This window comes from Homo sapiens, chromosome 15, assembly GCF_000001405.40.
Source record: "Homo sapiens chromosome 15, GRCh38.p14 Primary Assembly".
Classification (NCBI taxonomy): domain Eukaryota; kingdom Metazoa; phylum Chordata; class Mammalia; order Primates; family Hominidae; genus Homo; species Homo sapiens.
Genome location: NC_000015.10, coordinates 27,462,980 through 27,480,568, shown reverse-complemented (window position 1 = coordinate 27,480,568; position 17,589 = coordinate 27,462,980). Strand labels below are relative to the sequence as shown.

General features: G+C 39.5%; 1 protein-coding gene across 2 annotated transcripts in view, besides 1 other annotated feature; it reads right to left on the bottom strand.

Moving 5' to 3' along the window:
* The window catches only part of GABRG3 (gamma-aminobutyric acid type A receptor subunit gamma3), a 570,804-nt gene that overhangs the window by 61,416 nt on the left and 491,799 nt on the right, over positions 1-17,589 (bottom strand). The window lies entirely within an intron of this gene.
* Positions 12,032-12,326: an enhancer, noted in NCBI's record as "tiled region #4259; K562 Activating DNase matched - State 5:Enh". NCBI's record gives its function as "activates a minimal TATA promoter and a strong SV40 promoter by Sharpr-MPRA in K562 cells {active_cell/tissue: K562}" and the evidence as "EXISTENCE:reporter gene assay evidence [ECO:0000049][PMID:27701403]".

Sequence of the window (17,589 nt, the reverse complement as noted above, 5' to 3'; positions counted from 1 at the left end):
AATTACAGGAGTTAGGAGTTAAACTTTTAGGCCATATGTGCACTCTCAATTTTCCTCCAAGACACAGAAACTTGAAAAATGAATGGCTAAATGCCACCTAATCCAGCTGTAGATCTTCACGAATGGCCAGGCACTCCACTGCATAGGCCTGGCCACTGACAACACACAGGGAGTGGTGTCTTCATTTCTTCAACCTTGGAGAGCCACAGCTGCCGTCGGCCTTCGAGGAGTGGAGGTGCTTGTCAATGGCTCCCAGACTCTGAGTCCTCGCCATGCAGATCTAACTACATGGCCCATGCCCACACACCTTCCATCCTTCCCCAAAATGTAGTCCATCCAGATCTCAGGAAAGAGGAGCTCACTAAGGTAATCACTCCAGGATTTGATAGACCCTTTCTCCTATCAGTCTTCAGCTTTGATAGGTGAATGTTGACCTGCTTCAGGGACCCCTTCTCATGTGGTTAATTATTCCAGGAAGGGTAAGCCTGGTGTTTCTGCTGCCTGGGACCCAGGTTGGTGACTGCCTAGATCATGACATCAGGCAGGTGCTCTGTCCCGCTCCTGCGGGCACTGTCACCAGGGCTCCCTGGCTCCCTGAGCCAGAGCTGGCTATTTGCCAGATGCCTGCTTTTCTACCTGCAACTGTACTCCTGGATTCCCCATTTCTGAACCATGCTTGGAACAACACCATCCCCTCTCTGCTGGAGCTCTTTGACCTGGTGCACCTGCTCTCTTTTTACTGCCTGATCTGCAGGCTCTGCAGCTCTGTCTGCCTCACAGGGCATGCCCTACTCTCAAGAACAGGTCTAGGCCTTATGTCATTGGCAACACGTGACAGCATTGGCATTCTCAGCCTTCATTGATTCATACAGACACTGATGGCATGGCTCTGGAAGAAATGTATGCACCATCTTGATGAGTTATGCTGAATACTAAAAGCACTGCCTTAGTGCACACATATGTATGCAAACATATTAATAAAGTGGTTGAAATGTGCTGATTAAACATTTAAATCAGTTTGCAAAATTCTTAGAGGCAATCTGCCTTCTTCATTTTTTTCCCTCTCTGCCTGACATTGCTGGCTTGGCTCCACCATTGAAAGACTAAAATAAAGTACAGGCACAGGCATGCCCTGCTTTCTGATTGTGGGTTGCCCGGTGAAATTATTGTCAACACAGCAGGGATACATGCTCTCCCTTAACTTGAAAATGCTAAGCTCAAGGGACCCAGAGCCAGTCTGAAGCATTTCTATGAAGGAATCAAACACTGTCCTTGGCCATTGGCCATGTCCCAATTGCTTCCTATCCCCATAATTACAAAAGGTGCTCTATGCTACAATTCTTCCTTTTTAACTTTGTTTTTAAATCACCTTTATTTGAGACATAATGCACATACATAAAATTCACACATTTAATGTGTCCAAATCAGGGTTTTTTTTTTTTCACATATTCTCTGAATGGTGGAACCATCACCCTAATCTAATTTTAGAATATTTTCATCACCAAAATGAACCACCTGACCAAGTAGTGGTCACTCCCCTTTTCCCCCCTTTCCTGCCCACATCCACCACCCATCTCACCTAGTCCTAGGCAGTCACTTATATATTTTCTGTCACTATAGTTTGGTCTATTCTGGACATTTTATATAAATGGGATCATACGATATGTGACCTTCTGTAAATAGCTTATTTCACTTAGCATAATGTGTTCAAAATTCACTCCTATCGTAGCACACATCAGTACTCCATTCTCATTTATTGCCAAATAATATTTTATTGTACAGATATACCATATTTTGTTTATCCATTCATCAGTTGATAGATCTTTTGGTTGAGTCCATTTTTTCACGATTATGAATGTTGTTATGGGCATTTGTATACAGGATTTTGTGTTGATATATGTTTTCAGTTCTCTTGGTTATACACCTAGGAGTAGAATTGTTGAGTCTGGGTAACTACATTTAACATATTGAGGAACTGCCAGATTGTCTTCCAAAGTGGCTGGAACATAAAATTCTATAGCAATGTACAAGGGTTTCTATTTCTCCATATCCTCTGCAACACTTGTTAGTTTCTGTCTTTTTAGTGATAACAATGGTAGCAGGTGTGACGTGGCATATCATCATTGTTTGATTTGTATTTCTCCAATGACTGATAATACTGAGCATATTCTCATGCTTTTGTTGGCCATATGTATGTTTTCTTTGGTGAGGTGTTTGTTGAGATCTTTTGCTGATTTTTTAATTGGGTTGTTTTTATATTGTTGAGTTTTAAGAGTTATTTGTATATTTTGGGTACAAGTCCTTTATCAGATATATGTTTTAAAATATTTTCTCCCTTTCTGTGGTTCATCTTTTCTTTTGAAGCGACTGGAATTTTTTTATTGTGGTAATATACACATAATGTAAAGTGTATCATTTGAATCATTTTTGAGGGCACAATTTGGCGGCATAAAGTACATTCGCAATGGCGCATCCATCTCCAGAATTCCTTTTCTTTCTTTCTTTCTTTTTTTTTTTTTTGTGACATGGAGTCTCCCTCTGTCACCCAGGCTGTGGAGTGCAGTGGTGCGATCTCAGCTCACTGCAAGCTCCGCCTCCGGGTTCACGCCATTCTCCTACCTCAGCCTCTTGAGTAGCTGGGACTGCAGGCACCTGCCACCATGCCCAGCTAATTTTTATCTTTTGTATTTTGGGTAGAGACGGGGTTTCACCATGTTAGCCAGGATGGTCTTGATCTCCTGACCTTGTGATCTGCCCGCCTTGGCCTTCCAAAGTGCTGGGATTACAGGTGTGAGCCACTGTGCCCGGCCTCCTTTTCTTTTTAATAGAATTTATTTTCGAGTGTACTTCTAGGTTCACAGCAAAACTGAGTGGAAAGTTCAGAGATTTCCTGTATACCCCCTGCCCCACACATGCACAGCCTCCTCCATTGTCAATATCCTGCTGCAGAATGGTACATTGGTTACAATTGATTAATCATGTCGTTATTACTAAGAGTCCATAGTTTACCTTAGGGTTTCCTTTTGGTGTTGCACGTTCTATGGGTTTGGACAAATGAATAATGACATGTATCCACCACTGCAGTATTGTACAGAGTATCTTTCCTGCCCTACAAATCCCCTGTGCTCCACCTATTCATTCCTCCCTCCAACCCTTCCCTGCAGCAACTACTGATCCTTTTACCGTCTCCATGGTTTTTCTTTTCTAGACTGTCTTAAGGTTGGACTCATATAGTATGTAGCTATTTCAGGTTTGCTTATTAGTAATATGCATTTAATTTTTTCCCTGTCTTCATGGCTTAATAGCTCATTTAATTTTAGTGCTGAATAATTTCCATTATCTAGATGTATTGCATTTTATTTATTAATTCACCTACTGAAAGCCATCTTGGTTGCTTCTACATTTGGGCAATTATGAATAAAGCTGCTACAAACATACAGGTGCAAGTTTTTTGTGGATGTGACTTGTCTTTTGATTTTTCCTTTGTTTTTTGAGGAAAATTTTGCTAGGAATATAATTACTTGTTGACAGTCATTTCTTCCAACACTCTGAAGGCATGATCTAATATTCTTAATGGCTTCCATGGTTTCTCATTAGAAATCTGCTGCTAATCATATTGTGACTCACCTGTAAGTAAATATTGCTTTTCTCTTGCTGTTTTCAAAATGTTCTCTGTCTTTAACATTGTTAGTTTGACTATAATGTGTACAGATGTCAATCTCATTAAGTTCGTTGGGATTTGTTGACATTCTTAGATGTAAAAATGAATTGTTTTGTCAAATTTTTGGCCACTATTTTTTCAAGTAATTTTGCCCCTGCTTCTCTTCTCTTCTCTTCTCCTCTGAGATTCCCATTATGTGTTTGTTGGCATTCTTCATGATGTGCCACAGGTATATTCATTTCTGTATATTTTTCTTCATTCATTTTTCATTTTGTTCCACTCACTGGATAATCTCCATTGGTCTATGTTCAAGTTTGCTGATTCTTTCTTCTTTATACTAAGATCTGTTATTATGTCAACCCAGTGATTTTTTTTTTATTGCAGTCATTGTACTTTTCAACTCTAGAATTTCTACTGGGTTCTTTTTAACAATTTCTACCTTTTCACTGATATTGTCTACTTGGTGATATCTAGTTGTTATACTTTCCTTTGATTTTTTTAAGGCATGATTTCCTTAAGTTCTTTACACACATTTTTAAAGTGTTTGTCTGATACATTCAATATCTAGAATTCTCCAATGATAGTTTCTATTAATAGCTTTTTCCTTTGTGTGTGGCATGCTTTTCTGTGTCTTTTAAGATTTTGTTATTTCTTTGTTGCTTTTAGACAACATATTGGAACAACTCTGATATCAGATACCTTCCTCCACTCCAGAGTTTGTTGTTGTCCCTATTTCTGTTGTTTCTCTTCTTGCCACTTATTTGCTAAGTGACTTTCCTGGACTAATTTTATAGATTATGTGTTTGCTGCAGTAGCCATTGAGTTCTTTGCTGGCTTTTTGTGGTTGTTGTTGCTTTTATGTTCTTTTGAGCCGGGTCTCCTTTGGTTCACCTTGGTTCATTATAATGTAGTGGTCATCCAATAATCAGCCACAATATTTCCTCGAATTCCTCGCCCCTACTTCTTCCTACCTTTGTCATCATCAGTGTCATCATCACTACAGTCACCACCACCACATCACTATTAACATTATCACCACCTCCATCATCATCACCATCACAATCATCAATACCATCATCACCATCACCATCATAATCATCATTACCATCATCACCATCACCACCACCACCATTACTATCACCATCATTGTCACCATCACGATCATCAATACCATCATCACCATCACCACTACCATTATTACTATCACCATCATCATCACCAACACCACCAACATGATTACTATCACCAACATCATCACTATCACCATCACAATCATTACCATCATCATCACCACCACCATTATTACTATCACCAATGTCATCACCATCACCACCACTGTTACTATCATCATACCATCATCATCACCACTATCACCATCATGATGACCATCATCATCAACAATATCATCGTCACCATCACCACTACTATCATCATTGCCATCATCATCACAATCATCGCCATCATCATCACGGTCATCATCACCATACCACTGTCCATATAACTGTAATTATAGTCTACGAACTATTCCAAGGGCTTTCTATATGGTAAGTCTCACAATAATTCTAATGACATAGACATTACTGTCTCCATTTTACAGATAAGAAAGCTGAGGCACTGAGACACTAAGTAATGTACATAAGGAAGAGACAGAGTATAAGGTTAGGATGTATGACTCTAGTGTCCATCCCTTCACCCGCTGCACAACACTGGTCTCCATCTGTTCTTCTGATTGTCATGTTCCCCAAATCCAAGTTCCTCAACTTAGACAGATTTTTTTTGAGATGGAGTCAAACTCTGTTGCCCAGGTTGGAGTGCACTGGCGCGATCTCAGCTCACTGCAACCTCCACCTTCCAGGTTCAAGCGATTCTCCTGCCTCAGCCTCCTGAGTAGCTGGGATTACAGGTGCCTGCCACCATGCCCAGCTAATGTTTGTATTTTCAGTAGAGATGGGGTTTCACCATGTTGGTCAGGCTGGTCTCAAACTCCTGACCTCATGATCTGCCTGCCTCAGCCTCCCAAAGTGCAGGGATTACAGGCGTGAACCACTGCACCCAGCCAGCCACCCTTTTTATAAATCCACTTTTCTCAAGAGTAGGGAGGTGATTGTTTCCAAACTGCTTATTGTCTTGACCTTTATGGAAATACAGGTAATGTTTCAAAAGAACATTAAGATTATCAATCATTTAAAATACAGCCTGTCTTCCATAGTTTTCTCAAAGACTTAATAGAAACACTTTTGTTCTTTGCAGGGCTTTTTATAAAACACTTCCTACTCTTGAGAAGGCTTCAGGGTCCCCAAATCAAGGTCGTGAATGCATTTGATCAGAGATTGACATGCCACTAAGCTAATGAAGCTGGGAACACAGAGCCCTTGCTTGCAGGGGCCCTTCCAAAGCGCTGGAGGGACACAGCAGCTTTTTTTGTGGATAATTTTGAATCATTAGAAAAGACCTCCTGTCCCATTTGTTTCCTCTCTTGGTATTTTTTGTTGGATGTTTGACATACTGAATTTTAGCATTCTTATATTAAATTCATCATTAATTTCTATATTTATCTTTGTATTTATGTTTAAGTAATACTTCCCTGAAACATGCTCAGATATTTTTATATTTCATTTGTTAGTCATTCTGAAATTATTTTGGTCTGGGCCTTTCTACTGACTGCCAATTGGGTATATTTGTGATATTAACAAATACTACTTGTCACCAAATTTTTGAAGAAGAAAATGCCTGTGTTTAGGAAAATGAAGTCTTCATATCAGGTAATTCCTAATCTGCTCCATCAGTCTGTCTGTCTAGCCTCATGTGGTGGGTGGTGTGGCTGCAGTCAGCCCTGAGAGCATGGCCGTGATGGCTGGACCTGTTCAGGCCTGCTCCCTGGCTCTTGGGATAGAGAAGTCCCTCTTCAGGGCCTCTGTGTAAAGCCTATGAAACAAGGCATTTCCTGATTTTTGAACCTAGAAACCAATATTAAGAAAACTTTAAGACAGACAAGACAGAGTTTAACCCTTACATATACTTTGTGTTAACTTCATGGTTGCCTTGTGTTTTCATGAAAGTGAAGGGATACTGTTTTTAACTATTAGTTCTTCCACACACATCATGAGATAACAGGTTAATTCCTAAATTATCAGTTTGAGTGTAATATTCACTACAGCATCGCAGAGAAATCACAGTTCTAGTCATAATCATAGATTCTTTTGGAAACCTGATACATTTCATCTATTACCTGACTTATCAACCTATGATAAAAATATGAAAGCCACTTCTTTTTTCTTAAATAACAATAAAATATACAAAGTTAGGCATTTGAAAAAAGAAAACTAAAAGCTGATCAGCCAGCTTATTAAATTTAATACTTCATAGATTAAGTAAAACTATCAATGATTTTTGGACCAGACGTTTATAATTTCAGTGGCTGGTCAAATCTGTCAGAAAGGTAATCATTTCTAACTACCTTCTAACACATTCAGTCTTAGTCAACACACTACTGAACAATTACATAGCACTTTCCCCTGTAAAAAATTGCACTTTACTAGTTCTAATTCTCAATGACAGGTGTATTTCTCCCCTTTTCCATAGTTTCAAATTTCCTTGCAAATCAATTTGGGTCCTATAGAAGAAACATATAAGGGCTGCAAAAAGAGGGCAAGTATGAGAAAGCACCAGGCCAATGGGTATGCAGGGAATTCTACCAAACCTTTAACATTCAGATGCTGTTAGTGCCATTTCAGCCAGCCCAGAGAGTAGGAAATGCAAGAAAAATATCTAATTATATTTTTATATAGTGAGTATTACAATGATATACAACCTAATAATGAATGCACAAGAAAAGCATTCTTGCTTAAAAATATGAATGTAAAATCTCACATAAAATGATAGTTAACGGAATCCATCAGCACATTCTTTTAATACATTAATATATTATGATCTAATAGGATTTACGCAGGAATGAGAGTAGAAATTCATGAGTATAATCCATCATACATTCATCTCCATAGAAAGCAAAACATATTTGATAAAATGCAGTGTATGTTTGTGTTAAGAACACTGATTAAGCTAAAATATATTAGTCAACATACATATATACATACATACATATGTATATATGTAGAGACAGAGAGAGAGTACATATGTTCCTAAGATCCAATAACTTAAATTAATAGGAAAATAGAGTTCCTTTTCCTTTTAAAATTGAAAGCAAGATCATATCCATTGCCTTCCTTACTATTTGTCATTACGTTGTACATATTAGTTAACATACTCTTAGGAAAGTAAATAAATAAATATATAAAACAATTAGAGGCATACAGACTAGAAAGCAACATATGTTGCCAGGAGCGGTGGCTCACACCTGTAATCCCAGGGCTTTGGGAGGCCAAGGTGGGCAGGTCATTTGAGGTCAGGAGTTCAAGACCAGCCTGGCCAACATGGTGAAACACCATCTCCACTAAAAATACAAAAATTAGCAGGGCATGGTGGTATGTGCCTGTAGTTCCAGCTACTCAGGAGGTTGAGGCTGGAGAATCGCTTGAACCCGGGAGGCAGAGGTTGCAGTGAGCTGAGATTGCACCACTGCACTCCAGCCTGGGCAATAGAGTGAGACTCCATTTTCCAAAAAGAAAGAAAAGAAAAGAAAAGAAATGTTTACATATCCAGAAGACAGAAAGGAATTAATTAATAAACTAGTAGAAATATTTTCCTAAATTATCATAAAATACCCAGGCATAAACTTAAAAAAAAACATTCAAATCCTATGAGAGGAAGTTCGTAAGTTATTACTGAGCCAAACATAGATTAAAAAAATGTAAAGACACACTATATTCTTGCATAGGAAGACTGTATGACATACAACAGAAAGATGCTGATTCTCTCCAAGTTTAATTATGAATTACATGTGATCTCAATAAGAAGATTATTAACTTTTTTTATGTTTCCAAAGTTGATGATAAATTTTATTTGTAAGAACAATCAAGCAAGAATGGCCAGGAGAAGTACAGTGAGTGGGGCTAGCTTTTCATAGGTTATTAACTATTATAAAACTCTACACTAAACCTATTGTGTATTGGTGCTAGACTGATCAAAGAAACAGGAAAGATGAAACTTCTCTTGGGATTAGTTTATGATGAAGGTGGTTACTTAAATTAGTAGGAGGAAGAAGGTGTTTATGATCAGTGGAAGCCATATGAGAAAAAATCAATTTGGATCCATTCTTATATCACATATGAGAATAAATTCTGAAACCACATTTGCAAAAATTATAACAGCAAGAAAATTATGATAGGGAAACAGATATGACCTAACTGACTCCACCTTGCCTTTAACCTCCAAGCTGCCTGTGTTCACCTGAGCATGGGCTAAAATAACTTTGGGGAAAATTTAGTTTATAGTTTTAGCCCTTGCCAAAACTAAACTGCCTTTATGAAACCAATGAAAGACCACAAGTTTAGGATTATGAGAGGGGCCTGAATTCTACTAAGATGTAGGTGTAGTTAAATGATAACCAGGCATTGTCTGGAGGTCACAAGATTTGTAACTTCAATTACTCCCGTAAATAACATCACTATAGTGGAACCTAAGATTGGCCCTTTGAGATGTCTTTTCAGACTTTTGCATTTCTGATGCCTGGATGACTCCACTGGGACCAGCCACTCCTCTGGTGCCCACACCTAGAAGCAAACTCAGCCTAGGAGGACCACTTTCCACAACCCTATGATTTCATTCCCTACTAATCAGCAGCACCCATTCCCTAGCCCCCACCCCCTAAACGATCTTTAAAAAACTCTGGCCTCTAAATTTTGGGAGAGGCTGATCTGAGTAATAAAACTCTGGTCTCTTGTTCAGCTGGCTCTGTGTGGATTAAAATTAAACTCTTTCTCTAATGCAGTTCCTCTGTCTTGATAAATCACCTCTATCTGGGATGCAGGCAAGATGAACCCACTGGGCAGTTACAATTCCAAATGGATCAGGGATCTAAATATTAAACAAACAAACAAAAAAAACAGCCATATACTAGGATTTGAGAAATATGAATAAATTCCTTTATAGCTTTGGCTTTGGAAAAACTTTTCTAGCAATGACTCAAAATCTAGAGGTAATTAAAAACTATACTTACAAAATTGTCTACATTAAAAAAATGATTTAAAAAAAGCATGGCAAAAAAGTACCCTATAAGAAAAGTAAAAATGGCAAATAACAATTTGGGGAAAACAGAGTTAATATGTAACAGGAAAAGGACTAATTATGCTAATAAAGAATGATTTATAGGCACAAGAAAAATAAGACCAAAAATCCAATAGGATGAAAAGGTAGAAACTGTGAATAAACAGTTAACAAAGGAAGAAATAAAAATGGCCCATAAGCCAATAAAAAAAAAAAAAGGATTACACCCTCACACCTGTAATCCTAGCACTTTGGGAGGCTGAGGTGAGTGGATTGCCTGAGCTCAGGAGTTCGAGACCAGCATAGCCAACACGGTGAAACCCCATCTCTACTAAAATACAAATTTAAAAAAAAAATAGCTGGGCATGGCGGCGTGCACCTGTAATCTCAGTTACTTGGGAGGCTGAGGTAGAAGAACTGCTTGAACCCAGGAGGCGGAGGTTGCAGTGAGCTAAGATCGCGCCATTACAGAGCGAGACTCCGCCTCAAGAAAAAAAAAAAGAGAGAGAAAGAAAGAAAAAAGAAAAAGAAAAAAAGACACCCAAATTCACTCCTAATAAGAGAAATGCAAGGTACTGGGCACCAACAAATCACACTGAAATTTGATAAGTAAAGGGAAAGAATTAAGCATTTTCCCTGTCTTTCCTGTAGATACTGAATTTCAGGCTAAATAAGTACTGATGTGCAAGTTTTTTCAATAAACAAACCACTAACAAATGCAGGAGGAATGATATAATTAGAATATGCCACTTCACAGCGTCCGATGAATCTGGGAGCACCAGAGGCCAAGGCTGTTACCCACTGAAGAGTCTGTCTTATGTCGTCAAGGCAGCAGGAACAGATATTATGTTCTTTCCATTGTAAGGCAAAGAATTATACAGGGCTGCCTATGATATGTTCTTATCCCAAGAGTTCAACTTGAAGCTAAGCAAAGTTCTAGAATTAACTACTGTTTACAGAAAATGTGGGGGATAGAGAAACACCTTACATGACACCATGAGAATATAGTCAGCCAAACCTAGGATGTGTGAGATTTGATGGGCAAAATGGCCTAGTTTCTGCCCAAATAAATAGAAGGAATTTTTATTGATTAAAAGAGACTTGAGGCCAGGCGCGGTGGCTCACGTCTGTGATCCCAGCACTTTGGGAGGCCGAGGCAGGCAGATCACCTGAGGTCAGGAGTTCGAGACCAGCCTGATCAACATGGTAAAACCACATCTCTACTAAAAATACAAAAATTAGTCCGGTGTGGTGGTGGGCGCCTATAATCCCAGCTACTTGGGAGGCTGAGGCCGGAGAATCGCTTGAACCTAAGAGGCAGAGGTTGCAGAGAGCCGAGATTGTGCCACTGCACTCTAGCCTGTGCGACAGAGCAAGACTCCATCTCCAAAAAAATAAAATAAAATAAAAAAGAAGAGAGACTTGAGAGAAGTATTAGCAGGATGTGATGTGTAGATCTTGACTGGTACTGCTTCAAACAAGCCAACTGTAAAAAAGACAACTGCAGAAATGGCACGTGGGCTGAGTGTTCTATGACAGTAAGGAACCCATACTAACTTTGTGTAATTATGACATTGGATTAACAGAGGCATGTCTGTTAGAGGTAGCTAATGAAGCACAGCAGTCCCCTGCAGTAGCCTCCATGGGGGATATGTTCTAATACCCTTAGTGGATGCTGGAAACCATGGATAGTGCTGAATCTACTGCTGTTGGTTGGAAGGTGTTTCTATTTATATCTTCCGCCTACACATTTAATGCCTTATTCAGCTCAACTAAGAATTTATCATGCACTATGGCTGTAACTTTTGCAGTTTGAGGTGCAACAGCAATACTAGCACAAATTTCTTTTTCATTGTTCACAATTTCATGAATAGAAGATTTTTTTTACTGCAGATATTAACAACCACAGCATATGATTTTTTTTCTTTTCTTATTAAGCTGATAACTTTCATCTTTTCTCTTAAAGGAAGCACTTCATGGCTTCTCTTTGGCATATCCAAATTGCCAGCATCACTACTCTTGAACTTTGGGATCATTAAGTCAAATAAAAATTATACTTGAACACAAGCCCTGTGATACTGAGACATAATAATACAGTGAGGAGTAATACAGTGTGGTCACAAGAGAATAGAAAATCCAGGCAGTAGTTTCACATCATGAGCAAAAGGGAACTTGCAATAGCTGCAGATGCTATGAGCTGATAAGACCCTGAAATACCAGGATGTGGACCAAACTGGCTAAGACCAACTGGATCCAACACGGCACTGAATTTGACTTAGGTTTCCCCTAGGACCTCATTATCAACTCATTAACACAGTAAACCACACAACCACCAACCCCATGACAGTTCCAGGAACACCCATATTTGTTGTAAAAATGGGTGGCACCACAGTTCTGAGAAGTCTCCACGTTTTTCCAGGAATATTCCACCACTTGGTTAAAGAAACCCATAAAGATAAAAGCCCCAAATCCCATGGCATGACTCTCTCTTGAGTATGCCACACTCCCCTTTCTTGAGTGTGTACTTTTCACCTTGTGATAAATCTCTGTATTTTCACTGTATTCTGACTCATCCTTGAATTCCTTCTCACGATGGTGTCAAGAGCCTGGACACCGGCAGGGGTGGAGGTCCCACAGGTGTATGGGGACTTCCCCTGACCCGCTGGTATCAGTACTGTGACCGTTGATTTGATAACTGTACCGAAGTGACTAATGGGTGGACAGTGTGTACACTGTGGATACCCTGGAGAAGGGGACGATTTGCATCCTGGGTGGGATGGAGCTGGATGGTAAGAGACTTCATCACACTACTCAGTGTGGTGCCCAATGTAAAACTTATGAATTGTTTATTTCTGGAATTTTCTGTTTAGCATTTTTGGACCCAGGTTGACTGAAGGTAAGTGAAACTGCAGAAAGCAAAACGTGGATTAGGGGAGACGACTACATTTCTAGGAAAATCCATACAATGTACCATTTACTTTAAAGTACTCTTTCACAAATATGAGAGGAGATACATGCAGCCAAAATAGAAGAAAGTTGATGTGGAATAACTGGCACATGAGGTTTCATTGCACTCTTTTATCCATAAAAAATAGAACTAAAGGCTATATTTAGCCAATGAAATAGCTGTTTTAATGCTCAAAAAGTTTATCAACATAAAACAACATAGGTAGGCCCCAAACAGCAGTACCTGCAATCTTAGGCCCTGGATTCAGACTCTGTCCTGTACTCACAAGCTGTAAGACTACGATCCCATTAAGTAATTCAAGACCTTTCTAGATCTCAGACCTCCTGTCTGTGAACTGCAGAGAATGTGGACGGGACTCCCACCTCCTAAAAGTGCAGTGGTACTGAAGATGGCATGTAACTATATGCTATGGTCTGAACATCTGTGTCCCCCCCACAAATTCATACGTTGAAGTCCTAATCCCCAGTGTGACGGTATTTGAAGGTGGGGCATTTGGGAGGTTAATGAGGCCATGAGAGTGACCGGATGGGATTAGTGCCATTATAATAAGAGATATGAAAGAGATGATGTTTCTCCCTCCGTGTGAGGACCCAGCCAGGGTGCACATCTGCAGGCCAGGAAGAGGGCCCTCACCAGACACCGGGTCTGCTGACACTCAGATCATGGTACTTCCCCACCTCCAGAACTGTGAGAAATGCATGTTGGTGGTTTAAGCCACCCAGTTTTTGGGTTTTTGTTATAATAGCCCCAGATGACTAAGATGCTATATTAAATGCACAGCAGTGTTCCAGGCCAGTCATTACTGAGTTGATGTTAACTGTAGTGTTTATTGTGCTGCCAAAAAACATAAAAACTACATCCCTTACTCAAAATACCATATTAAAAAGTTCTTTTCCCTTTTCACTGGGCTCTCTGGAAAGCTCTCCCTCTATGGGTCTCCAGCCCTTGGCTGCTAAAGAGGGTGGTGGGGAGGCTTGGAGAGCAGCAGTCGCCCCACTGCCACCATGCTTACCCTTGGGGTCCCTTCCTCTTCCCTCTGCCACTTTCCTCCTCTCTCTGTGCTTCCAACTAGGATACAACGGTTTAAGAGGAGCAGCAGCCTCAGAGAAAAATTACACTGTGCACAGCCTTTTGTCTACAGAAGAGTGATATTTGTTTTGAATGATAAGTGTTAAGTGGTAGCTTCCCGGTCTGTTGCATTTGACCTACTTTGAGAAATGTTTAGAAGGAAAAGAAGACAAGCATTGATTTAAAAGATGCAATATCAAGCTGTTCCAAATTTATTTTTGTTTCTGTGCAATAAGAAATAAGTTCTGCTTTGGAAATTGGGATCATTTTCTTGTCTGTAGTTGTTAATGTGTCCAAGTATAATAATAATTTTACTGATTCTATGAACAATGCTATTTTCCCCATGCATATGTCACACCAATGTCCCAGGGCTTGGAATTGACTCAGGGGAATCATCAGTTACAAATTTACCACTGTTGGGGGTAGGAGGCTCTAGAGATTAAGAGACATTGTAGATTCTACTGAATATTCTGTGGTCTTCTATGGAATATTGTAAAGTCTGCTGCTGGGTCACAAGCCCTTCGCCCACTGTTTAGAAACTACGCCAGACTCTTCTTTAAATTTCTTCAGAGATTTCTCAACTCAGTGCGGTCTGGCATTCAGTGTTTTTCCTTATGAAATAAGGGGCCTTGAATTGAAGCCTACAGGTTGTTTAGCCTCAGCTCCTTCTTTACCAGGTTTCTAGATATTAACCAACCCACTCAATCTCTTGGGGCTTTATCTTTTTAAAATACAACAGGGTGGTCTACAACAGTATTTTTGAAACACTGGGTCTTTAGAATCAGTTCAGTGGATCATGTCCAGCATTTTAAAATGAAATACAGCAGAATACAAAAGAACATATCAGAAGGCATCATGCAGAGTGCCAGTAAATATTATTTTGTGTTATTTTCACTATGTGTATATAACTGTATGTATCCTTGTTGTGGAATGGAAAATGTCTTTTCCAGAGAGATTTGGTATGAGCCATTGAAAGAGACTACCTAGAGGTGAATTTGCAAACTCAGTGCAGGGAGGATAAATAAGAGATTGGGTGACTGGAATGAAGTGTAAGTGCCACAGGGACCTGGAGCCACTGCCCTAGGCAAAGCAGTGTCCCTCCTCTCTGGAAAGAATCTGCCTATGGTCACGAAATCATCTGGCCTTTCAAAAAGAGGCAGAAATAGGGAATTCGGTATAAAATCTCCTGACTTTTAAATGTTGGCCACTGACTCATCTTTTAAAAAACAAGCAAAGTGTGTCCTTGGAACGGATGCTGCATTGTGGGGCATCAGTTGGCACAAAGGAAAGGTTTTCCAATTGTGTTCCCTGAGGGAAAGCAGCTGAGCTGGTAGGAAGGGGTTAGTCACGCAGAGACCTTACGTTTGTATCCATTTTCATGTAATTTTTCAGGATTTCAGTAGCTTTAAAAACGTGAAAACGCAAGTCTAGACATGCTTACACATTACTCTCTTTAGTAATTCTCCAAAGAGTGCCACTGATCCTTGGTCCCATCAAATGGGAGAAAAATGGGCTCTGCTGAGGCAAGTGGGCTGACGTGGCAAGGGGAGACCCCCCTCCACCAGCAGCTGAGAGAGGCAGCAGCTTCATCACCCTTGATCCGTGCAGGCTGGGGAAACATTCACGGGCTCTGTGCCTGGAAGCATGTGCCTTCTTAAGTCCTCTGAGGTTTACTGCCTTGGTAGTTGTGAAAATTAAGCTATTCATAAAGACTTACATATTTATTAATTTGAAATTGTTAGCTTTGTACAATTTTAATAATCCACAAGATTAAAAAAAGTCAATGCAAATTTAAAAGAGTGCTGGCACAGAATGAGAGAAAATATTTCCAAATCATGTATCTGATAAGATATTTTCACCCAGAATATATGAAGAACTTTCACACGTCAACAATACAAAGACAAATAGTCCATTTAAAAATGGGCAAAGAATTTAAATAGAATTTTTTAAAGGAAGATATACAAATGGGTAATAAGTGCATGAAAAGATGTTTAGCATCATTAGTCACCAAGAGATGCAAATAAATAGTACAAGATATCACTTCATACCCGCTAGGATGGCTAGGATTTTAACAAGGAAGTACAGTATTTGAGGGGTTAGGGAAAATTAGAACCCTCATACCGTGCTGGTGGGAGTGCAAAATGGTGAAGCCACTTTGGAAAGCCATTTCACAGTTCTCTAAAATATTAAATGCAGAGTTACCGTAGGACCCAGAAATTCCAGTCCTACATGTACACAATCACACCAAAACTTGTACATGAAAGTTTACAGCAGCAATAGTCATAATAGCCAAAAAGTGGAAATAACCCAAGAGGTACCAATGGAAGAATGGGTTAAGTAAACCACATAATGTATAATTCACTTTATATAAAATGTCCAGAATAGGCAAGTTTGGAGGAGCAGAAAATAGATCAGTGGTTGCCTGGGACTGGGAGGAAGGGGATAGGGAGTAACTGCTTAATGGGTACAGGGTTTCATTTTGGGGTGATGACAATGTTATCAAATTAGGAAGTGATAATAGTTAAGCAATTCTGTGAATATACTAAACACCACTGAACTGTACACCTTTATGCCAAGGTATAAAATTGGTGCATTTTATGGTATGTGAAATATATCTCAATAAAGCAGTCATTTAAAAAAACCTGGAGTAGTATGAAAATGCGGAGTGCTGGTGCTCCCACAGCTGTTTAGGGGGCCACGATGCATGGGTGACACCAGCTCGTTTTCTCACTTGCACACCCACACACAGCTGCTCATGTGTGACATGAACAATGATGCCTTATGGGAGGGGCACGTGGGTTTGCTGGTCCTGTCTGAACTGAGCCCACTCCCTGAGAGAAGAGCGAAGAGAGAAGTTGGAGTGATGTAGTGAACATCTAGCTTTAAGGAGCAACAGAACAGCTGTCAGCCTCCCCCTGCACAGTGCTTCTAAATTGCCAAGCTTTTCATGGCACCCCCAAAGGAGCAGTGTCTGGACTCGGCTCCGTGTCTCCAGGAGAAGGCACAGCTGTGAAATGCACACACTTCTGAGCTCACATCCTAAACATGGACACAGCACACCCCCACAGAAGAAGGTGCTAGGGAGGCCACTGGGAAAGGGGCAGGGCTGGTCACACAGCATGGTTTCAATATCTCACTTTTGCAAATTGTGCTAGGGCCTCTCCCAGGGTCTTGGAATCAGCCGTGTGAATGAGGGCCAGGGAGTTTCAGCTTTCATCTTCACAGTCATCTGCTTCTGGCCCACTGTTAAAGATCCACACTTCGGTGATACCAAAAAATAACACAAATAATTTTAAAGAAAAATTGGAATTCTGATTGAAATATTTACATACCAAATTAGTGATGGGAGGTCAGATATCTTTGCAATATCAAATCTTTCCTGTCAAGAATATATGCCTATCTTATAGTACTTGTTTCACATTCTTCAATAGAATTTTAACAATTTTCTTTATATATATCATGAGTCTTAGAACATATGTTTGCTTTTGCTTTCCTTTTTTGTCTAATATAAAGAGGTGTTTTATTTACATTTTTATACAATGTTTGTAATTCAAATAAAATCTGTTAAACCTTATGTATTAATTTTGAATCAAGCTCACTTCAAAACATATATTAATTTTAATAATTTTAGTAGCATGCATTATTTTTTCAAGATATCTGATCATATCATCTGTAAACAATAATATTAACTTTTACAAAACTTGTGGTGCTTATTTTTATTTCCTTCATA